General features: G+C 38.4%; 1 protein-coding gene across 1 annotated transcript in view, besides 2 other annotated features; it reads left to right on the forward strand.

Moving 5' to 3' along the window:
* Positions 7136-7785: a silencer, noted in NCBI's record as "silent region_15633". NCBI's record gives its function as "represses an Ori minimal core promoter by ATAC-STARR-seq in GM12878 lymphoblastoid cells {active_cell/tissue: GM12878}" and the evidence as "EXISTENCE:reporter gene assay evidence [ECO:0000049][PMID:35858748]".
* FAM241A (family with sequence similarity 241 member A) overlaps positions 7355-24599 on the forward strand; it is a 49803-nt gene continuing 32558 nt past the window's right edge. Inside the window, exon 1 of the mRNA NM_152400.3 lies at positions 7355-7634. Within this exon, the coding sequence (NP_689613.2) occupies positions 7482-7634 (153 nt within the window). The 5' untranslated portion in view covers positions 7355-7481. The remainder of the gene's footprint in view (positions 7635-24599) is intronic.
* Positions 8126-8265: an enhancer, noted in NCBI's record as "active region_21820". NCBI's record gives its function as "activates an Ori minimal core promoter by ATAC-STARR-seq in GM12878 lymphoblastoid cells {active_cell/tissue: GM12878}" and the evidence as "EXISTENCE:reporter gene assay evidence [ECO:0000049][PMID:35858748]".

Below are 24599 nucleotides of genomic sequence, written 5' to 3' on the forward strand. Positions count from 1 at the left end.
GCTCTGTCGCCCAGCCTGGAGTGCCACGGTGCGATCTCCGCTCACTGCAAGCTCCGCCTCCCGGGTTCACGCCATTCTCCTGCCTCAGCCTCCCGAGTAGCTGGGACTACAGGCGTGCATCACCACGCCCGGCTAATTTTTTTGCATTTTTAGTAGAGACAGGGTTTCACTGTGCTAGCCAGGATGGTCTCGATCTCCTGACCTCATGATCTGCCCGCCTCGGCCTCCCAAAGTGCTGAGATTACAGGCGTGAGCCACCGCCCCAGGCTGAAATCATAGAATTTTAAAGGAGAGAGAGATTTTTCAAATTGTCTGGTTCAGCCTGCTCATTTTACTCACTATGAAATTCAATAGCAGAAATTTTAAATAAACTGCACAAATTTCTGCAGCCTGAGAGTGGCAGAACTAGCCATTTCTCCTGTATCCCAGTTTAGAGTTTATATCATTCTGATTCCTTTAGTAAGTGATGAAGAGCTAACTCAACATGGCTTATGGAAAAAAATTGGGGACAACATTATGGTGATAGATTTATGGGTTAACATAACTGAGAAAAGCATACAGGTGTAGCTCTAATATTTGGAGTAGCTAGCTAAAAATATTCATCTCTCAATCATGTATTCTGCTGGGCTGACTTCATTCTTATGCCCTATATGGTTGTCCTCCTGCAGTTCCAAGCTCATACCATCACAGGCCAATCCTGTAGACAATACTTTTCTTATAATACAAACAAAAGTCCCCAAATTGAGTTTTATTGGCCCTGATTGGCCTGACTTGTGCCTATTCTTGAACCAATCACAGTGGCCATGGGAGGTGGGGAGAGTAAAATGAATTTAATTTACTTAGTAAAAGCCATATTCTCCATTCCAATCACAGACTGGGAGTGGGAGACTGGTCAATAAGAAAAGCTGGGGTATTGTTAACAAAGGAGTAGGTACACCTTACTGCTCATCTGTGAATAATAAATGTGCTTTGCCTAAAAGAAAAAAGTAGGTACAGATAACAATAGCAAAACCCAACATTTATCCATAAATAACAGTAAAAAGAATAAAGTATAAGAGAAGACAAAATCACTTTTAAAAAAAGTTTGAGGCCAGGCATGGTGGCTCACGCCTGTAATCCCAGCACTTTGGGAGGCTGAGGCAGGCGGATCACGAGGTCAGGAGTTCAATACCAGCCTGGCCAACACAGTGAAACCCCATCTCGACTAAAAATACAAAAATTAGCTGGGCGTGGTGGTGGGCGCCTGTAGTCTCAGCTACTCGGGAGGCTGAGGCAGGAGAATCGCTTGAACTAGGGAGGCGGAGGTTGCAGTGAGCCGAGATGGTACCACTGCACTCTAGCCTGAGCAACACAACTAGACTCTGTCTCTAAAAAATAAAAAATAAAAAAATAAAAAATTGAAAGGACTGTCACCAAAAATAATAATAATAATAATTAATTCGTTCTTTTGTACTTCAGAAATGAATTAGGACCAAGAGGCAGAGGAGATAAGGATATAGATTCAAGTCAGGAGATGCAATAAACTTTCTAACAATTAGTATTAGTTATTTGGTAATTGAATAGGCAGTATCATGAAGTAATGAGTTTCCCATAGTTGGAGGCCTTCAAGCAGAAGAAGGGTGACCATCTACCAGAAATGTTATAGAAGGGATCCTACATTGGGTGATAGCTTGCTATAAACTGCCTCTGAGATTCCTTCCAACTCTAAGATTCTAAATTATTGAGAACAACATGAATAAAAGATCCAAACTCATTCAAGAACTAAATAATTCAACAAAAGGTAATATAACTTTCATCTATGAAGTTGAATCAACCAGACTTTGGGTGCCAGCAATCCCATTTTACAAGAAAAACAGATATAGATCTTTTTAAATGGTTTATTTTTAAATTACAACATTAAAATTAATTTTACAAGGAAACACATACCCCAGAGTCACATTGTCCAAAAAGCCATTTTAAAATTTTATCTTCCAAATTTGATCTTTTTGTTCACATAATTTCACCTCTGTGAGACTTATTTCCTAAGCTGAGAAGCTAAGTCCTGAATTACTCTTTTTACCTGCCTAGCTCCTGGGGTACAGGATAACTGAGTGACTCTGTTACTACCAATCTTCACTTTTTCACTTAACATTATATTTAAATGTTTATCACATTGATATAAAATCTTTACCATTTTAAGGCTTTACATATTTGTGTTGGTATACCACAGTTTACTTAGGTGTTTTCTTACAGGAAGACATTTAGGCTACTTTCAGCTTTTCACTATAATTCTGCCTTGAACATCTTTATGCAAACAACTTTTTCCCCTTTTTGTTTTTTAATTTTTACTTTTATTTTAAATAATAATTGTACACATTTACAAGGTTCAATGTGATGTTTCGATATATGTGTACATTGTGGAAAGATTATATCTAGATAATAAAGTTACCCATCAGCTCACATATCTTTTTTTTATGGTAAGAACATTTAAAATCTACCCTTTTAGCAGTTTTGAAATATGCATTATTATTAACTATGGTCACTATGCTGTGCAATAGATCTCAAAAAGTTACTCTTCCTGTCTAACTGAAACTTTGTACCCTTGGGACAACATCTCTCTGTCCCCCACCCCACCCCTTTTTTAATTCTTTCCCAGGACTGGAGTTAGTAGGCCAAAGGGTACGGATATCTCTGTGGTTCTGAGTATGTACTGCCAAAAGAATGCTATCAGTTTTCAGAGCTACTAGCAATGCCTGAGTTTAACCATTTCTCTAAAATATTGCTCACATTAGGTTTTATTCGACATTTTAAAAATTACTAACAGATATTAAATAGTGCTTAATTATTGTCTATATTTCCACTTTTTTCTCTAGCAATAAGTTTAAATAGCCTTCTCAATACTTTTTTTTTTTAATAAAACAACTGTTAATCTATCTTCCTACTGTAAGGAGAGAACTCAGCAGTGCATCTGAATGCAACAAAATCACACTAGAGAACGTTAATAGAGCAGAGAGGATAAAAATTAATTCCAACCCAGGCATAGTGGCTCACACCTGTAATCCCAGCACTTTGGGAGGCTGAGGCGGGCGGATCACCTGAGGTCAGGAGTTTGAGACCAGCGTGGCCAGCATGGTGAAACCCCGTCTCTACTAAAAACACAAAAATTAGCTGGTGTGGTGGCACACGCCTGTAATCCCAGCTACTCGGGGGTCTGAGGCAGGAGAATCGGTTGAACCCAGGAGGTGGAGTTTGCAGTGATCCGAGATTACACTACTGCACTCCAGCCTGAGTGGCAGAGCAAGACTCTGTCTCAAAAAATAAAACAAAAATTAATTCCAACAGAAAGAGCAAATTTCTCCTTCTCCCAATCAGAATGGACTCTCTGGGAAGGCAAGAGAGCATTAATAGAGCGTTGTTTAAGCTGATACAGCTTCCTTAAACTGAAAGAACACTAAAGGAAGTGAGGCCTCTCCAAGTTTCCTTTCCTTGAAATTTACATCAATTGTGCAAGAACCATAGTTTCCTGGAATTTTGGTTCAGATTCCAAACATCTCAAAAATAATTCCCTGTGCCCTGCTAAATAGAAAGGAAGCAGATGAAAATCATATGAGAAAAATTAAAGCATATAGGAAGCTTAGAATAACATTATAGTGTGTCAAAAATCAAACCAACAAATGTAATTTGGGGTAGTTTCCACAAATAACTGCATTTGTTTTTCTAAGATTGTATTACCAATTGAGTCCAGAACTCTCTGATTTGCTCGTTTCTCCCTCTGGAAAGATGCACAAATGAAATAAGAATAGAGGAACATTAAAAATAATAAAGGCATGAAAGTGAAGGATTAAAAGTCCTTGTTCCCATAGCAACTGCACCAGCCACATTTGCACTAGACAGGCCATTCCTTAGACGTGCATCTGTTTCTTGCACTTATTTATTTCTGGGAAAGCACAAAACACACTAATAAAATCACAACAAAACTCCATATGATTTGACTTTGGGAGGCCAAGGTAGGCGGATCACCTGAGCGCAGGAGTTCGAGACCAGCCTGGCTAACATGGCAAAATCCCATCTTTACAAAGATACAAAAATTAGCCTGGCATGGTGGCACACACCTGCAGTCCCAGCTACTTAGAGAGCTGAGGCAGGGCAGGAGGATCGCCTGAGCCTGGGAGGTGGAGGTTGCAGTAAGCTGTGATCATGCTACTGCACTGCAGCCTGGGTGGAAGAGCGACACTCTGCCAAAACACACACACACACACACACACACACAAACAAAAAAAAAAACCACTACATATGATTTGAGACCAACATGTTATAGTTGCCTAGGTAATAACAATCTTATATTTCCCATGGGAAACTGGCAGTGCTAGCTTTATGTGTATATTTTTCACATTGTGCAGCAGAGTGAAAACAGCCCTCTCCTCCCATAAGATTAGGCTGTAATCTGTTTAATGTCTTTTGTGTAAAATGCTAGATTTATTTAAAGAGGTGGTTCTCCAGATCTCCAGGAAAAATCAGACTCTATGAACAAAAGAATAACAGCTTAAAGAAAAACTCACTCACTAAATTAAAGGTAAATGATATTAAGAAAAAAAAAAAAGGTTCTGCCTTCAGTCCTAGGTGGAGATCCAAGGATTCTGGCTACTCTTCGGTAAAAGTTCTTGGTTTCTGCCAAGAAAATAACACAAGAATTGGATTAAAATGAAGCTTCATGAGAATAGGGACCTAGACCTGGGCCAAACGCCTAGTAGTGTTCAATAAGAGAATAGGGACCTAGACCTGGGCCTAAAGCCTAGTAGCGTTCAATAAATACCTACTAAAAAACTGAATTAATACACTTCTCAAAGACTCAAGAAGCCGGAATCTACAAAAGACCAGACAGTATACTCTAAAGGAATTTTGTAAGACTTGTCCCCTAAGCTGAACAAAGCTAACCTCTGTATTGTACCTGCCCAGCTATATAAATACTCTGTGCCTTCTGAGTCCTCTTATATATAAGGAATTTCTGCTCACTGTAGCCTGATTGAAGAGTGCATAGTTGTTTGGCTTATCAAGTTGCCAATCAAACGCTATGAGGGAGAACTTCAAAATGTGCCTTAGTTCATGGGGTTGGCAGTAAAGAGCTGATGTTCTCTGGGTTGCTGTATATAATTCCAAAGTTTTATCCAAAAAAGTTGATTTTTATTTTTTTATTTTTTTGAGACGGAGTCTTGCTCTGTCACCAGGCTGGAGTGTAGTGGCGTGATCTTGGCTCACTGCAACCTCTGCCTCCCGGGTTCAACTGATTCTCCTGCCTCAGCCTCCCTAGTAGCTGGGACTACAGGCATGTGCCACCACACCCAGCTAGTTTTTGTATTTGTAGTAGAGATGGGGTTTCACCATGTTGGCCAGGATGGTCTCCATCTCTTGACCTTGTGATTCGCCTGCCTCGGCCTCCCAAAGTGCTGGGATTACAGGCGTGAGCCACCACGCCCAGCCAAAAAAAAAAAAAGTTGGTTTTTATAAGAAACACTACTAATAGCCAAACCAAAATTCCAAGAATGAAAATGTTGCCTTCAGGGGAAAAAAAATGAGGCCCATCAGAAAGGCTACTGGGTTCCCATGGTGATATTTGTTTCTGATTGTATGTATATAATATTAAATACTCTTTTCTGGAGTTTTAAAGACTTTTAAGAAAGGGAATGAACCAGATTCATTTTCTTTCTAATTTTTGATATCCAACGGCATATTTTCTGGCCCCTAGAGAGATTGTTTGTGGAGGAGAGACAATCAGAGAGGGCATGTGTGAGAAACCATGTGTGAGAGATGGTGTGTGCGCGAGGTTGTATATGTGTGAGAGAGACTGTATGTATGTGAAATCATGTGTGTATGAGAGAGATTGTGTGTATGAGAGATTGTGGGTGTGTGAGAAAGACTGAGAATCTCCTGACTACAAAAAACAGGAAACTTCTTTAAAATAAGCCTATGAGATTCTGCCTATTTTAATTCCTTCTCTGGGCCTGAAAACATTTTAATAGAAGATCCCAAATAACTCTTACTCTTCTCCATGTGTACACATGTTTACTTTCCATATTTACTTTTCTGTATTTTACCTGTACAATAACCCATCGTTTTCCCAATGTACAGATAAGGCATACACAGAAAAAAAAGTGATATTTTATTTAAACACCCTTCCATTTTCCTTGAATAAAATGGATGGAGTAGTACAAAAAATAATTATCAATTGGATATATTCCCCTCACCACCCACTGAGAAAGACATATTCTTACCCAGTTACAGAAAGATACATCATTTGATACACCATCAAACGACCCAAGGCTCCAACAAACAACACACACTAGGAAGCACTCAACAGAAAGGGACAAATACACAGACCTTCAGTGAGACACTAGGAAAGGAGGCTAAAGGAACAAGAGGGACAGTGAAATGTGTCTTCCTTGAAAAGGACGGGCAGATACTCAGGCAAGAACAGGGGTACTCTGCTGGAGAGTGTAACTGGGTGCATGTGTGTGTTTCTCTCTCACATACAAACCCACACACACTAATCTCTTATACAAATGCGCTCTCTCTTAAATATATGCACTGGCTCTCTCACACAAGTAATTTCTCTTTCACACTTGATCTCTCTCAGTTTCTGTTGTTCCCTCATACAATCTCTCTCTCACAGTCTCTTGCATACACATACAATCTCAATCTCTCTCTCTCTCTCTCTCTCTCTCTCTTTCCCCCCCCCCTCCTCTCTCTCTCTCTCTCTCTCTCTGAAACGGGGTCTGGTTCTGTCGCCCACGCTGGAGTGCAGTGGTGTGATCTCTGCTCACTGCAGCCTCGACTTCCCGCGCTGAGACGATCCTCCCACCTCAGCCTCCTGAGTAGCTGGGACCACACTGCCGCCACCACGCCCGCCTAATTCTATTTTTAGTAGAGATGGGGTTGCCCAGGCTGGTCTCCAACTCCTGGGCTCAAGCTATCTGCCCGCCTCGGCCTCCCAAAGTGCATACAATCTCTTATACGCAGTTTCTTTTATATAGAATCTCTCTCACACACACACACAAATCACGCTCAGCGTCTCTCTCACACTCTCTAACGGTCTCTTACGCACACACAATATCCCTCATACATACACACAGCCTCTCTCATGTACAATCTCCCTCATGCAGTGTATGTCCATAGTTTTTCACACAACACCCTTCTTCTCTCAGTCTGTCGGCCTCTCTCTCAATCTCACACACACACCCCCGCCCCCCAACACACCGTTGGCCCCGCCCCCTGTCTTGGCCCCTCCCCTGTACGGCTCCGCCCCGACGGCCGGGGGTTGGGCGAGCCAGTGACAGGAGGGGCCGGGCTGGTACTTCAGGCGCCCAGGCCGGCGGGGCGCGCTCCGGCGGCTCCTGTCAGCGGCGGGTGCGGCGGATCCCAGGGCAGCCTTCGGGCGGCGGCGCTGCCTGGTGCGTCGCGGCGTGGTCCTCCGGCGGCTGTCCGGGGCGGTAGGAGTTGGCTGCGGGATGTGCTCAGCCGGGGAGCTGCTGCGGGGCGGCGACGGCGGGGAACGCGACGAGGACGGGGACGCGCTGGCGGAGCGGGAGGCGGCAGGGACCGGGTGGGATCCCGGGGCGAGCCCGCGGCGGCGCGGACAGCGGCCGAAGGAGAGCGAGCAGGTGAGCGCGGGGAGGGGCGGCGGCGAAGCGGCCGGGTCGGGGGCCGCGAGCCCCGCCCGGCGTTGGAGGGAAGGGGCCCGGCCCGCGGGCCGCGCCGCAGCTCTGCCCCGCGTGGGCACTGGCTCCCCGGCGCTCTGGGAAGTCGTCGCCGGGAGCGGTTAGACGGCGCTCCCAGGAGGAGCGGCGGGGTCGCGCGAGTGCAGACGCCAGCGCCGGCCCCGGGGTCGCGTGTCTGGCGGGGTCAGCGTGGTTCGTCCCCTGGCGTCCGGCAGAGGATTCTCAGGCTGGCGCCCAGGGCTCGGAGGAAATGCCCTCCATAGCGGTGATTTATTTAAAAGCCTCACTTGTAAACACTTCTTTTTCAACTTCGAGTCCGTGCCCTGCGCCAGGTTTAGGAGACGCCGGCTCCCCTCCCGCCCTCCATCTTGCGTTTCCGAGCCCACACCTAGCGTGTCTGGAAGGTGTGGGTGGATTCCGTCCACGGGCAGCGCTGAAAGCATGAGTAGGAGCGGGTGTTACAATGAATGTCTTGACAGGGACTCTCCCAGAGCACGTTCTTCATAAATACAGATGAGATCAAAGCTTCAGTTAAAAAGTGGAGAGGCAAGAATATTGCTTTCGGTTATAAGAGGCCAGCCATAGTAAGGGAAAAGAGAAGTTGCGTAATTTTTTAAACTCTCTGAGTTTATCTCATTTAAATAAAGTGTGATAATGGGCATTATAACATCAAATATCTTAAAGATTAGGCAAAAGGTTTAATTTTAAAAATTGAATTGTATGTTGGATGAATTTTCTACAGCAAATACAGTATTTAGACTTTCCAAATACCTGAGGTAAGCCGCTCTTTAGACTCACATTAAGGAGCAGGAATTCAAATGATTATTGGCCTTTATTACAGCCTGTACTGTTAGGACAATTAATACCTGTCTCTCCTCATCTTTCTTCATCTGTCCTTTCTGTCACGTTTCACAAATTCCAGTATCATCACTAAATGCATTAATAGATGTATACCTTACATTGTTTCAATAGGTTACTTAGGAAACAGAGTAATACTGTGTGGCACACAAAATATGCCTTAGCGTTAGGTTTGATCACCACGTGGAGTGTAATTTTTCATCTGTGACAATATAAGAGAAAGTGACTCAAGCAAATAATTTGGTAGCTTGTTCTTCGGATTCCCTTCCTAGTGGTTTTTCCCGTTAACTATTCATTTGCTCAAGGGCTTGATTTCCTCTAACTTAAATTGCTTAACTGGAAAAGTGAAGAAGACAGCACAAGAATTCCTTTGGGGGTGGGGAGGGGTTGCATTTGAGCAGGGGTTTCCAAAGTAAATTTTCAAATAGTTGTAAGGGAGCATATAAAAATACTTCATTTAAGCTTCTGTGTACTTCATTAGTATGATTATGTAGACATCACTAATAGTTGTGGTCTTTCCAAAATTGCTTATGGTACAAAGTAAAAGGATAAAACAAAAAATGAAAAGTACATCTTAGAAAACATATCACTTTGCATACCTGCCTCCTTCATTGAATGTCATGAAAGTTCATTCTCCTGTACTCCTTTGAAGTGTTATTTTTATCATTCTGTTTTTGCCTCAAGATTTATTAATGTATTCTAAGCCCCCATACACAATAATTGAAAATCACACCGGAGATAGGCATTTCCTACTACATTAGCACCAAAGAAGAATTAGTCAAGAAGACAAAAATAAGCAAAAAATTGGTGCAACCCAACCCATTGTTGTAAAAAGCAAGCTTTTCTGATAAAACGTTTCTTGGTAATGTTATCACAAAGCCTTGTTTTCTAGTTTTTTTCAAGTTCTGTAAATGAAATTATGCATTGCCATGTAATGATGGTAGAAATAGTATTACATGTGTAAAGATATTTGAGGAAGAAATGAAATTAACAACTATGGAACATATCCCAAGGACTCATTTTATTTAGTTTTTATTTAGGGAGATGATTTTTGTTTGTCCTGTTGGTTGGTTTAAGGATACAAGGACTCCAGATTACAAATGGAATATTTTTGAAAGATTGGTTTCTAAGTTAATGATTTAGAACTTAAGGTGAACTTTTCCATGAAAACAATGATATAAACAGGAACAGAACCAAAACTAATTAGCTGGAAATGAGACAGAGGCCATCTTCCTGCCGTCTTTTCTACTTGGCACGCTCACTTCGTGTTCCGGAGTCATGGATAGCCTCATGGGTATTGAGAGGAAATTAGAGGCAGGAGCTAGCAGAGGCGCTCCTTTTAACCCAGAAAAGAGCTATGGTTGTATGCTCTTGAACACCATAGCTCCAGAGGCACCTGACTTGTGCTCCTCTAGCTCTTTCAATGATTTTGTCAACACCTAATTTTCTGTATTAAGTCCCTTTCTATTTCTATTCCCCTCACAGAGTTTGCCCTTTCCTAATAATTTGATGGAGGTTTCTTTCTTGGGCTATTTCTCAAGCTAAATCCTCGTCCACATACATCCCTTCCTTCACTGATTTTTCTTTCCACTTCTGTCTGAAAGGTTCATTCCTTTTCCTCAACCTGGAAAGCTCTTTCATCAGCTTGTTATTACAATACCAGAACAAAATGTATCTTTATTTTGTTACTTATTTCATATATATATGAAATATATAAAACACCTAGTATTAACATAGGTGTTTTATTACTAGTTAAGATATTGTCTGCATCATTTTTAACAATTTGTCTTTAGATGCTACTCCATTTGAGCAAAAAATGAAGGTTCTTCTGTCATTCTGGCCTGAGTCTTTCCAGGTAGGGCGATTGACAAAGGATGCCTGGTTAAAATCAAGTCACTTAAGAAAGGAGGCCTTGGGAGAATGAATCAAGTCCTGTAGATGAAGAAACTGTGCCAGGTTTGAAATAGGATCAGGTGTCTAAAGAGAGATAAGCAAGGGAAAGAAGCAATTTCAGGGAATGTCCAAGAAACTGAAGGGACAGGACACAGCTATTCCATATATGTGTTGGTAATTGTGTGTATGAGAGATGATCCAAGTATGTTCATGAGGGTGAATGCCAGGTGGCTTTATGTAAGAGTTTCTGTGCCCTGATGCATAGCTGAAAGGCTAAACATCTCTAGTCCATTATTATATGCCTTAAATGTCAATAGCATCTGCTTAGATGTGGCACAATGTACAGGTCACTCACAATCTGAAATAACCTAACATGACCCTCTTACCTAGAGAATAGGGAAGTCCCATTATCCTTAGATTGACTTTCGAATTATTAACTCTAGCTTTAACGTCTTTATGATTATAAAAGTAATGTGTGCTTTGGAAAATTAGAACTATAGAAAGATCTAAAGAAGAAAAAAGCCTTTGAAATCCCACTCTATTTTGGGATTTTGATATCAAATATTTTGATATCAAATATGAAACTTGGTATTACTACAGTATATTCATTTGTCTATGTGTATATGCATATATACACACTTTTTTTTTGAGATAGGGTTTTGCTATGTTGCCCAGGCTAATCTCAAACTACTAGCCTCAAGCAATCCTCCCGTCTCAGCCTCCCGAAGTACTGGGATTACAGGTCTGAGCCTCTGTGCCCAGCCACACATGTATTTTTAATATGTTTTAATATAAATATAATTTTGTGTCTTCTTTTACAAAAGGTTGTGTCATTTTCCCATGTTATGGAAATTCTATGTGAAAACTCTCTTTAGGGCTGCCAAATAATTCATTCCCCTAACACCGCACATTGAAGTTGCTTCAAGCTTTCTTTTATAAATCGTGCTGTCTGAAAATATTTGCTTGTAAATCCTTAAACTTCTACCCTGGTATAGATTCCTAGAAGTAGAAGAACTAGGTCAATGAGTCAAACTCTTTGAAGCCTCTTGAAACATCCTAAAGAATTTAATTCAAGAAAGGTTGTACTCATTTACACTTGCAGCACTGGTGTGTAAAAAGGCCAGTTGGAAACCATCCATGCCAGCAATGAACAATATAGTTTATAATCATTGCCAATTTCATAGGTGAAACTTCTATCATATTGTAAGCTGTTGCTGGAGAGGTTTACTAAACCATTCATATATTTATTAGGCATTTGTATTTCTTTTTAGTCATTTTTTTTCTTTTGGCATTATAAGGATATTAATCCCTTATTTTCACATTGGCTGTAAATATTTTCTCTGCTTGCTATTTACTTTATAATTTTATTTATGTTTTTTAAAATTTGATAATGCTTTGAATTTTTATTAAAGGAATTTTTTTGGTAATTTCGTATATACACACACCACTCACATGTATACACGTATCTCTTTCTATACATATTAAGAAATTTTTTCTAATCTTACAATCAGTTAAATATTTGCCTATGTTTTCTTTTGTATGTGTGCATTTATGGTTTAATTTTTTACTCTATATATTTAATCTCTTTAGAATGATTTTCTATATTGTATGAAGTATGGAGCTGATCTTTTTTTGTCCTAATCATTGAATAATGTACTTTCTGCCTTGCTTTATAATCTTTTATAGTATTAAGGATTATATTAAAGTCTGTATTAAGTTTTTATATTTTTGTTGGTATTATGAAAAGGATTTTTTCCATATCATATTTTGTTGGTGGTTTCTAGCTATTGGCTTTTATGTATTTCATTTTTAACTGGCCATCTTTCTAAATTTTTATACTGGTACTAATAAATACTAGTAGCTCTTAGACTTGATTCATTTGCATCTTCTAGGTATATAATTATCCAGTTTATAGATAAAAATAATTTTGCTTCCTTTCAAATGATAATGTCTCATTTCTATTTCTTGCCTTTGGCAATGCCTAGAACTTTCAGAACAATGCTGGCTCATAGATAAATGTAAGTAAATAAATGAAGGAACTTCTGTAACAGCATTTGCCAAAGTGTGTTCCATGAGATGATCTGTAAAAAAGAAAACAAAATGGGGGGTTCAGTGAGGGGGGTCCATGCCTTTTGATCTATCAGTAGAAATATGATTAACAGTACAGATTCTAGATCAGGGTTACCTGGGTTTGCCTTTTATTGACTGTAACTTTAGGCAAGTAACTAACCTCTCTGGGCTGCAGTTTCTGCATCTGCATAATGGGAATAATTGTAACAACTTCATAGGATTATTGGAAGGATTATATGAATTAATAATATATGAGATGTACTTAGAGCAGTCTCTGGCACATAGCTATCTAGCATGTGAGTGTTAGCTGTTAGGCCTAATTTTGGACCAAAGTCCTAACTGAAACGAAATCTGAGAAAGGCAATTTTAAGTTTTCCAGCCTCTGCAATTAGAAAACCACCTGAGGCGAAAAGCAGAACAGCATTAATATAGTTTGGGCGTTTGTTGCCTCCAAATCTCATACTGAAATGTGATCTACAGTGTTGGAGGTGGGATCTGGTGGGAGGTGTTTTGATCATGGGGGTAGATCCCTCATAAACGGCTTAGTGCTATGCCTTTGGTGACAAGTAAATTGTCGCCCACTTAGTTCACACAAGATCTGGTTGTTTAAAAGAATCTGGGACCTCTCTCCCTCTCTCTCCTTCCCTCCCTCCCTCTTGCCATGTGACACTGCCTGCTCTCCCTTCACCTTCTGCCATGATTGTAAGCTTCCTAAGGCCCTTACCAGAAGGAGATGCCAGCACTATGTTTCGTGTACAGCCTGCAGAACCATGAGCCAAATAAACCTCTCTTCTTTATAAATTATCCAGTGCTATATTGTCTGTGTCTGATTTTTTTATAGCAATGGAAACTGACACAAGTATTCCTCAACTTCAGTGTGCATAGGAATCATCTCTTATTAAATGCAGATTTTGATTCAGTTGGTTTGGAGTGAGGTCTGAGATTTTGCATCTCTACAAACTCCTAAGTGATGCTGATGCTGTGCCCATGGACCACATTTTGGCAAGGGAATGGAGAATAAGCAAGTCAATATACTGTATTCACCACACTTGCCCTTCAACATAGTATCAGTAATATATACATATGAAGTTGTTTAACTATTTTCTTAGAAGTGTATATTTAAACTCTTGGTAAAATATGAGAAGCCAATAGTTGTTCCCTAGGCCACGTTATTTGCTGTAGGTCCTACAGCTAACTCATGCTAGAGCAGACTAGAACCCAGGTTTCCGAACACCAAAGCTAGTGTTTTTTGTTTGTTTGTTTGTTTCACAAATACAAAAAGCACATTACATGATGGAAAAACAGTCTGACAAATTTTCTGCCCTACTTTAGATGGTGTAGTTCAAAACTAAATATTAGTTTATACTCACTTCCTTTCACGTATTTTAAAAGCAGTTTGCAAGCAATATTGTAATAAGTGCTATGAGCTTAGTTGAATTCTGCCCTAACTTAATCTCATCTTGTTCCTAAGGACATCCAGTCACTAGAGTAACTCAGGGAATAATTTTGCATTTGATAGGCATCTTTTGTTCATTTTTTTAAATCATCCAGACTGGAACTTCTAAATCAGTGGTTCTCAACTGGGGGCCTTTTGTCCATAGGGGGCATTTGACAATGTCTGGACATTTTTTTATTGCTGAAACTAAGGAGGTGGTACTGACATCTAATAGGAAAAGGCCAGGAATGCTGGTAAACATCGTATAATGCCATAGTCCCCTACAGCGAAGTATTATCTGGCACAAAATTTCAATAGTGCCAAAGTTGAGAAACAATATTCAAAATATGTAAGGGTTACAGTCCTTTGAGTTGTCAAAAGTAATTACTCTGATAATAGATATTCCAATAGATAGGTTAAAATTGTTTATTTGCTTGAAACCTGTATTTTAAACAGAATTTCAAACTTTTCTCTGTGTCTCTTCTAGCAGCTCCTCGTATGCAACTTGCTGTATTTTGCTTTCTCACACATTCCTTTTCTGCCTTTCTTTCCTACCACCCATCTCCTTTCTGTCTCTGTTGAGTCTCGTTCTCTCATGTGTTTTTTCCCTCCCCACGCATCTCAACCACTTTCTCTTCTTCTGCATACATCTTCCCCTACCTCTTCCACTTCAGTGCAGAAGCTGAGCATTATGAAACAATGAAAAGGGGGTTGAAGTATGACAGATCTAATTTTGAATCCCGGTTTTACTCTTTATTAGCCCCCGTGATCCTGATTACTTAATCCGTCAGAGATTCAATTTCCTCATTTGTAATGGGTATGATGCTACCCACCTCTTAAAGTTTTTATGAGGATTCAGTCTCATTTTGTATGTAAAATGCCTAACACATGGAGGCACTCAATAAATATTTGCTCCTTATTTCTCCCTCACCTTTTCTATTTTTCTTCTTTTTCTCTGGTTTTCCTCCCCTTATTTCCCTCAACTAACACATCATAGAACTGTGTTTTTAGTACATGTAATTCTCAAATTTATAGAATATTTATTGAACAAAGTGTTAAGATTGTGAAACAATGTATCTAATGTTTAGAATAGACAATCTCTAAAGAAAAAATTAAACCTGTCAACCTAAATTATGTTGTTTTTTATGTAGATCTCTAGTTGGTTTCTTTTCCCCCTTGTTGCTCACTAATCCTTGAGAGGAAAAATACCCACCTCCTCTGTACAAACTATTCTCAGTTTCCTATTCAAAAGAAGTGATAAGGCAAGATTAAAAGGAAAAACTCAAAGTACCATGACATCAGTCTTGCTGTAACAGAAATATGTAGAAATTCTGTGTCTCTATTCATGTGTTCTTTAAGACTTAGCAACACTGTCTTCATTTTCTGTCTTTTCTGGAGTCATAATCTTATCTTCCAGTAACAGCCACCTATCTCCGAAAACCTTGTTCCTACTAGTTATGTTTTATTTCATTGTGTTTATGTGTGTTTGAGAGAATTAATAAGACATTTGAAATGTAGCTTCTTTTGAGCAGATAAACCGAGTTTCTAACCAACCTGATGCAGAAGATACTTTCTATCTTCTGATCTTTTTCCCCATACCCAGTGTTTCCCCCGGCACCGCCCCCAGCCATTTAACTTCATTGGCAGCTGAGTCTTATCTTGGCATAGGAAGAGGAAGTGATTGGCTTTATTTCTTGCTGTTTTCTTAGGGCAACAACTGCAGCTTATCAGAGTTCTAATCAAAAGGAAAGCATGGTACAAATGTTTTTAACTTTATGGAAAATAAAGGATAAAATTATCATTAATACTTAATATCTAAACATAATGTTAAGAAAGTTAAATTCCCATTGTGGTTTTTACAGTATTTATTTTCATGTAACTTTTTAAATATCTGTGTTTGAGAATTTCTTTTATTTCCTCTTCCAATTAATCCAAAATAATTTAATTTTTGTTTTGTATCCTCTTAATTAAATTTTACTTGAATGTCTGCAGATGGCCTACAGAGGTAGGGAATTTAAGTTTGATGTTGCATGATTGCAAATTCCATCAGTCTGACTGAATTGAGGATTTCTTATTCCATGAGTTTTAGAGGTAATAACAGCAGAAGCGAAATTTTCACTGCCACAAATTGAGAATTGAGAAGGAAAGTCATTTTTCAGGAGAGATATTTGATTTTGACTACTTTTTTCCCCTAAGTTTGATACTTTATTTTTTAAAATTTATTTCTTATTTTTTTATTTTTGAGACAGAGTCCTTTGTTGCCCAAGCAGGAGTGCAATGGTAGGATCTCAGCTCACTGCAACCTCCACTTCCCAGGTTCAAGCAATTCTTGTGCCTCAGGCTACCGAGTTCCTGGGACTACAGGTGCATACTACCATGCCTGGCTAATTTTTGTATTTTTAGTAGAGATGGAGTTTTGCCGTGTTGCCCAGGCTGGTTATGAACTTCTGGCCTCAAGCAATTTCCCTGCCTTGGCCTTCCGAAGTGCTGGGATTACAGGCATGAGCCACCGTGCCCAGCCTGGCTACTTTTAATGGATAAGTTTACCCATCTTGTAGTAGCATCTAGCATATTGTCCTGCATATGCAAGGTACTAAGTAATGTCACCAGAGATTTCATATTTTTTTTTAAAAAAGTAGATTCTTGAAAAAGTATAAAATGTAGAAATGTCTTAACCTGCAGTTTGAAATCAGAAAGAGGCTTGAGCAGGGTGTGGTGGGTCATGCCTGTAATCCCAGCACTTTGGGAGGCTGAGGTGGGCGGGTCACCTGAGGCCAGGAGTTCGAGACCAGCCTGGCCAACATGGCGAAACCCCGCCTCTCCAAAAAGATACAAAAATCAGCCGGGTATGGTGGGGAATACCTGTAATCCCAGCTACTCAGGAGGCTGAGGTAGAAGAATCGCTTGAACCCAGGAGGCAGAGGTTGCAGTGAGCCAAGATCGCAAACTGCACTCCAGCCTGGGCGACAGAGCAAAACTCCGTCTGCGCCCACCACCCTCCCCCGCCACAAAAAAAGAGGCTTGAGTTAGGCATATTCTTGAGTTCGTGGCCCACAGTTATATATCATTAGTTCATGAAAAGCCCTTCTCTTATTTAATTATTTTTCCATTGCATAACCATTTCTTTCTCTACAATAGGCAGCTGTTCCAATACGTCTGTTAGATATTACTGAAATTGAGTGTATCTTTTTGACTACCTGGTGGTTTCATTTGTGTGTCTGCAATTATGACTTATAATTTTAAAAATATTGAAGCCCGGTAGTTAAAATGAAAAATGAATGCAAATTTTGGTATTTTTCTGTTTATAATCATTTCAAAGACTAAGTTCTAGTTGATATTCTCATTGTTTTTATCCATCCCCTCAAAAAAATCTTTTTTCTTTTATTGGGTCTATGTAGTTTAGTGGGAGGTAAGTATAAAACAATGCTATAATTTTTCATTTACTGATAAGTGACAAACAAGTTATAATGATAAGTTATAAATTATATAATATAATATAATGCTATTATTAGATGAAGCCTTATATAGGTAGTACATTTTTACATTTAATTTATATCATTTTTTAACGTTTTGTAGGAAATGAAAACTGCAACTTCATGTAGAGTCCAATAAATAGAAAAATATGTCCAGCCTCACTATAAAGAAAAGAAATGCAAATTAAAACAATTAGGAATGATTTTTTACCTATCAAGTTGTCAAAGATTAAAAAGATGAATGGTGTGGGTTTAGAGATATAGTGTATAAAATACTATATTTGGCTATATGAGATATAGTGTATAAAATACACTAAAAATTAGAGGTATAAGTTAGTTCAGTATTTCTAAAAGGAAATTTGATATCAAACCTTATGAACAGATACTATTATTGCCCCTACTTTAAGATGTACAAATTGGAGAGCAAGGAGGTTAAGTAACATAGTGAAAGTATAGCAGCTAGTAAGTTGCAGAGTTGAGATTCAAACCCATGCTTAAAAGCCCTAAACTACCAAGCTAGTGTTTGGCCATGAAATCAATTTAGTGGATTTTAAACAGGATAGAGTAATATAGAAATTATTAGAATGCATCACACATAGTATGAGTGTCACTCTGTGGAACTTAATATGTACTAGTTCAGGATATAAAATACTGTATATTTCTTATTGTGGATGACAGTCACGATCACTGCAGTAGCATAGATAGATCAATTCTATCTCAGGTCATTTGCCTGGAACTCTTCCCCCAGATCTTCCCTTGGCAGAGCTTCATATCCCAGCTTATCTATTACTTCCTCAGAAAGTTCAGCTCTGACTACTTTGTGGAAAGAACCTCCCACCCCATAATCCTCTATTCCACTAGCCTGTTTTCTTTTCCTCATAGCTCTTCTTGCTATTTGAAATTATCTTCCTTGTTAATATGTTTATTCTCTGCCACTCCTCACTGCCCTCTCCACAGGTACACTCTAAAACATAATCCCCATGAGGACAGAGATTACATTATATGGCAAATGTTTCAGAAAATTATTTGGGCATCTCTGAGCTACTAGAGATGAATCTGTCAAAACTTCTTCTCCAAAAACACACTTGCTAGTAAAAACTCAGTTGATGTTTTTGCTGAAGAACTGTGACTTCCCAGGTGAAATTACCATGACAGAAATTAGTATTCATGAGGGAGAAACTTGGACTTTGTGTATAACAGGAACATGTCTTCTTATCAGAATCAACAGAAGAGGAACTAGTGATGTTAGTTGTGCATTGAGCTTAAAAGATTTCTGTGAAACATCTGTAAAATTGTAGGCAAGGATTGTAGTCCTTGAAATGCTGTATTTAAAAATTATCACAATATAAAGAAGGTAAAAGGCTAACACACATAGGAACTGGGGATATTAACTTGTATTGCTCTAAATTTTGAATTCTGTTTTTTGTTTTGTTGAAAATAGGATAGTAAGAAACCCAGATAGTCAATGAAGGCCAGAGCTAGTAGAAAGATAGTGAATAAAATTCTTATCAGCCATTTCAATTGTGACAATGTTAAATTATAATTTCCAAAAAGGTAAAATTATGGTTCTCATTAAACATAAAAGAAACACGTGTTAAAGATTTTATGTAACTCATCATCAAGAGGGAACCCAGTAAATGTTACAACCTATTCAAAGAAGAAATCAAAGAACTAAAAGTATTTATGGAGAAGATATGTTGAAACGGATTTCAAAACTGGCTTTTTCCACAGGCAGAGAGAGGGAAGTCAATTGAACCTTCACTGGAACAGAGTTTATTCCTACAGATAAGAATATTTTTGCATTGCTCTCAATTATCTGTAATTTATGGACTTTAAAATAACTCAAAGACCATGAAGATTAATAATATTCTAAGCAATGCCATAGAGACACCCAGAAATTTTTTTTGCTTATTCTAAATAGATAAAGATAATTTAGTAATAGACAAAGATAATTTCTAAAATTTGCTACACTAAGTAGATTAATTTCTGGATAGCAGGGATATGTATGTCTCTTTAGAGTGTCATGTGATGCTAGAAAATGTTAATTCTATTCCAGTCTTCTTGCCTAGTACTATTGAATGCATACATTCAGTGTACATGTGAAAGTGCATGATTTATATGAAAAAAAAGTAAAAATCGATTTCTTTTTGACATTCTGTTATTATATAACTAAAATTAACCTGAATCTGAGATCACTCCCAAAAAAACACCCCAAACACTTCCAAAAAATTTTGGTGAGAACAAGATTGCTGCTCAGAGGATTCCATACCTATGTCTAGTTTTTATTTAGCACAGAAATCCCAATTGCTTGTTCATGTCATCCTAGCATATTTTCTCTGACTGTTGAGTGGTCATTGGTTCAGAGACAACTTTGTCTACTCAAGAGTTTCACAGCAATGTAGAGGCACATTTCATTTAAGCTTTTAAATTTAAAGAAGGGCAAGAACGAAGTGATTTTTTTCCATAGGGAATTAACTAATTAGCATGCCTATCTTTGGCATCAATAAAAATATCCAATGTAAAACACTTGAGAAAAATTACGTAAAGAAAAAAATAGATATCAAACTTTGTCCTTCATTATTTATTTTATTATAATTTATTATTATGGTTTATTTAACAGTAATATACTGAAAAAGGTATAATGATTCTGCCATTTCTGGATGATAATATTTTCTTCTTGGAGTTTAAATGATTCGCTATTTGGAAATCAAAGTCTTTGGGCGCTCTATATTTGGCTACGATTTTCAGGCTTAAGTTGCTCTAACAATCTTGCCATATACTGAAGATACTTTCTCCATTTACATAATATTGAACATCAATTGTTTTAACAACTGATTGTAATCATTGTATTATATAAATGTTTCTGTATTCTTTCTTTTTCTGGCTAGCATATACTTTCTTGATAGCTTTTAGCCCATTGATTTCAAACATTTAATGAGCTCCTACTATTTTTCCAGGCACTGATCTAAGTCAAGATAGAAGGAAACAAATAAAAACAGGCCACATTTCATTTCTCATTAATCTTGTGTTGTAGTAGGGAAAGAGAGACAATGTATAAATGAACAAGTCTATCAGCGAACAAGTAAATCATTGGGTTATATGCACTATGAAAAAAAGCAGAAAGGTAGACAGGGAATGTGGATATGAGCTAGGATTGCTATTTTTATTGTTATTCTTATTTTTTCATTGCTATTGATATATAATATTTGACCATACTTATGGGGCACATGTGATATTTTGATACATGCATTGTATAATGATGAAATCAGTGTATTTAGGATATCCATCACCTCAAACATTTATTATTTCTTTGTGTTGGGAACATTCAAATATTCTCTTCTAGCTTTTTTGAAATATACAATATATTGCTGTTAACTGCAGTCACTAACTGTGCTATTGAACACTAGATTTTTTCTGACTGTATGATTGTGCTTTATCACCCCTTTTCCCCCCATACATACATACTTCCCAGCTCTGTTAACTGTCATTCTACTCTGTCTCCAAAAAATCAACCTTTTTAGCTCTCACATATGAATGAGAACTTGCAATATTTGTCTTTCTGTGCCTGGCTTATTTCACTTTTAAATAAAGTGGTCATGGAAGAGCTCACTGAGGTAATAGTTGAGCAAAGACCCAAAGTAAATGAGAATTACCTACTTGGCTGTGCCCCTCGGTTTGCTTTGACTCTTTAGTAGAGTAAAGCAATTTAAGTCCCAGTCTTAGTAACTATGGTAACATATCTTTCTTCAATCTAGATTCTCAATTCTTTCTCACAATCCCCACTTCCAGTTCTCTATATTTTGTTGCTATTTTATTTGCTCCTACTGTAAGCAAACGCAAATTCTTTGTGGAAAGATAGGAGGAAAAAGTAAATTAACTATGGACTTATTTCAGTTAGCAAATTTCCTCTTTTAAAGGGTGCATTTATTATACCAAAGCCAGACAAAGACACATCAAAGAAAGAAAACTGCAGACCAGTATCTCTGATGACTATTGAGGTACAAATCCTCAACAAAATACTAGCAAACCAAATTCAACAATATACTAAAAAGGTTATTCATCATGACCAAGTGCGATTTATCCCAGGGACACAAGGATAGTTCAACATACACAAATCAATCAATGTGATGTATCAACAGAATGAGGGATAAAAACCATATGATCATTTCAATTGATGCTGAAAAAGCATTTGATAAAATTCAACATCCCTTCATGATTAAAAAACACTAAAAAACTGGATATAGAAAGAAAATATCTCAACATAACAAAAGCCACATATGACAGACCCACAGCTAGTATCATACTAAATGGAGAAAAAATGAAAGTCTTTCCTCTAAGATCTAGAACATGAGAAGGATGTCCACTGGTCACCAGTGTTACTCAACATAGTAATGGAAGTCCTAGCTAGAGCAATCAAACAAGAGAAAGATATAAAGGGCATCCAGATTGGAAAGGAAGAATTCAAATTATGCTTGTTTGCAGATGATATGATGTTATATTTGGAAAAATCTAAGGACTCCATCAAAAAACTATTAGAACTGATAAATTCAATAAAGTTGCATAATACAAAACCAACACACAAAAATCAAAATCAGTAGCATTTCTGGATGGGCACAGTGGCTCATGCCTATAATCCCAGCACTTTGGGAGGCCCAGGTGGACAGATTACTTGAGGTCAGGAGTTCAAGACCAGTCTGGCCAACATGATGAAACCCCATCTCTACTAAAAAATACAAAAATTAGCTGGGCATGGTGATGCGTGCCTGTAATCCCAGCTACTCGGAGGCCGAGACGAGAATCACTTGAACCCAGGAGGCAGAGGTTGCAGTGAGCCAAGATCACACCACTGTACTCCAGCCTGGGTAACAGAGCAAAACTCCATCTCAAAAAAAAAAAAAAAGGAAAGATATTGCATGTTCATGGATTGGAAGAATCAATATTGTTGAAATGTCCATACTACCCGAAGCAACCTACAGATTCAACGCAATTTCTATCAAAATACCAATGACATCCATCACAGAAATAGAAAAAACATTCCCGAAATTTATTTACACTCACAGAAGTTCCAGAACAGCCAAAGCTATCCTGAGCAAAAAGAACAAAACTGGAGGAAACACATTACCTGACTTCAAGTTATACTACAGAGCTTTAGTAACCAAAACAGTGTGGTACTGGCATAAAAACAGACACATAGACCAATGGAACAGAATAAAGAGCCCAGAAACAAATCCACACACCTATAGTGATCACATTTTTGACAAGGGTGCCAAGAATATACACTAGGGAAAAGACAGTCTCTTCAATAAATGATGCTGTGGGAAAAACTGGATATCCATATGCAGAAGAATGAAACTACATCCTTATCTCTCGCCATATACAAAAATCAAATCAAAATGAATTAAAGACTGAAATTTAACATCTCAAACTATGAAACTACTACAAGAAAACATTGGGGAAAAGCTCCAGGACATTAGTTTGGACAAAAAATTCTTAAGTAATACAGACAAGTACAGGCAACTAAAGCAAAAATGGACAAATAGGCTCACATGAAGTTAAAAAGCTGCACAGAAATAAAGATGTTCTTTGAAACCAATGAGAACAAAGAAACAACATAACAGAATCTCTGGGACACAGTTAAAGCAGTGTGTAGAGGGAAATTTATAGCACTAAATGCCCATAAGAGAAAGCAGGAAAGATCTGAAATTGACACCCCAACATCACAATTAAAAGAACTAGAGAAGCAAGAGCAAACATATTCAAAAGCTAGCAGAAGGCAAGAAATAACTAAGATCAAAGCAGAACTGAAGGAGATACAGACACAAAAAACCTTCAAAAAATCAATGAATCTAGGAGCTGGTTTTTTGAAAAGATCAACAAAATTGATAGACTGCTAGCAAGACCAATAAAGAAGGAAAAAGAGAAGAATCAGATTGATGCAATAAAAAATGATAAAGGGGTATCACCACCAATCCCACGGAAATACAAACTACCATCAGAGAATACTATAAACACCACTACGCAAGTAAACTAGAAAATCTAGAAGAAACGGATAAATTCCTGGACACATACACCCTCCCAAGACTAAACCGGGAAGAATTTGAATCCCTGAACAGACCAATAACAGGCCCTGAAATTGAGGCAATATTAATAGCCTAGCAACCAAAAAAAGTCTAGGACCAGACGGATTCACAGCTGAATTCTACCAGAGGTACAAAGAGGAGCTGGTACCATTCCTTCTGAAACTATTCCAATCAATAGAAAAAGAAGGAATCCTTCCTAACTCATTTTATGAGGCCAGCATCATCTTGATACCAAAGCCTGGCAGAGACACAACAAAAAAAGAGAATTTTAGACCGATACCCATGATGAAAACCGATGCAGAAATCTTCAATAAAATACTGGCAAACTGAATCCAGCAGCACATCAAAAAGCTTATCCACCACTATCAAGTGGGCTTCATCCCTGGCATGCAAGGCTGGTTCAACATACGCAAATCGATAAACCTAATCCAGCATATAAACAGAACCAAAGACAAAAACCACATGATTATCTCAAGAGATGCAGAAAAGGCCTTCGACAAAATTCAACAACCCTTCATGCTAAAAACTCTTAATAAATTAGGTATTGATGGGACGTATCTCACAATAATAAGAGCTATTTATGACAGACCCACAGCCAATATCATACTGAATGGACAAAAACTGGAAGCATTCCCTTTGAAAACTGGCGCAGGACAGGGATGCCCTCTCTCACCACTCCTATTCAACATACTGTTGGAAGTTCTGGCCAGGGCAGTCAGGCAGGAGAAAGAAATAAAGGGTATTCAATTAGGAAAAGAGGAAGTCAAATTGTCCCTGTTTGCAGATGGCATGATTATATATTTAGAAAACTCCATCGTCTCAGTCCAAAATCTCCTTAAGCTGATAAGCAACTTCAGCAAAGTCTCAGGATACAAAATCAATGTGCAAAAATCACAAGCATTCCTCCACACCAATAACAGACAAACAGAGAGCCAAATCGTGAGTGAACTCCCATTCACAGTTGCTTCAAAGAGAATAAAATACCTAGGAATCCAACTTAAAGGGATGTGAAGGACCTCTTCAAGGAGAACTACAAACCACTGCTCAACGAAATAAAAGAGGACACAACCAAATGGAAGAACATTCCATGCTCATGGGT

The sequence above is a fragment of the Homo sapiens genome, chromosome 4 (genome assembly GCF_000001405.40).
Source record: "Homo sapiens chromosome 4, GRCh38.p14 Primary Assembly".
NCBI classification, from domain to species: Eukaryota; Metazoa; Chordata; class Mammalia; order Primates; family Hominidae; genus Homo; species Homo sapiens.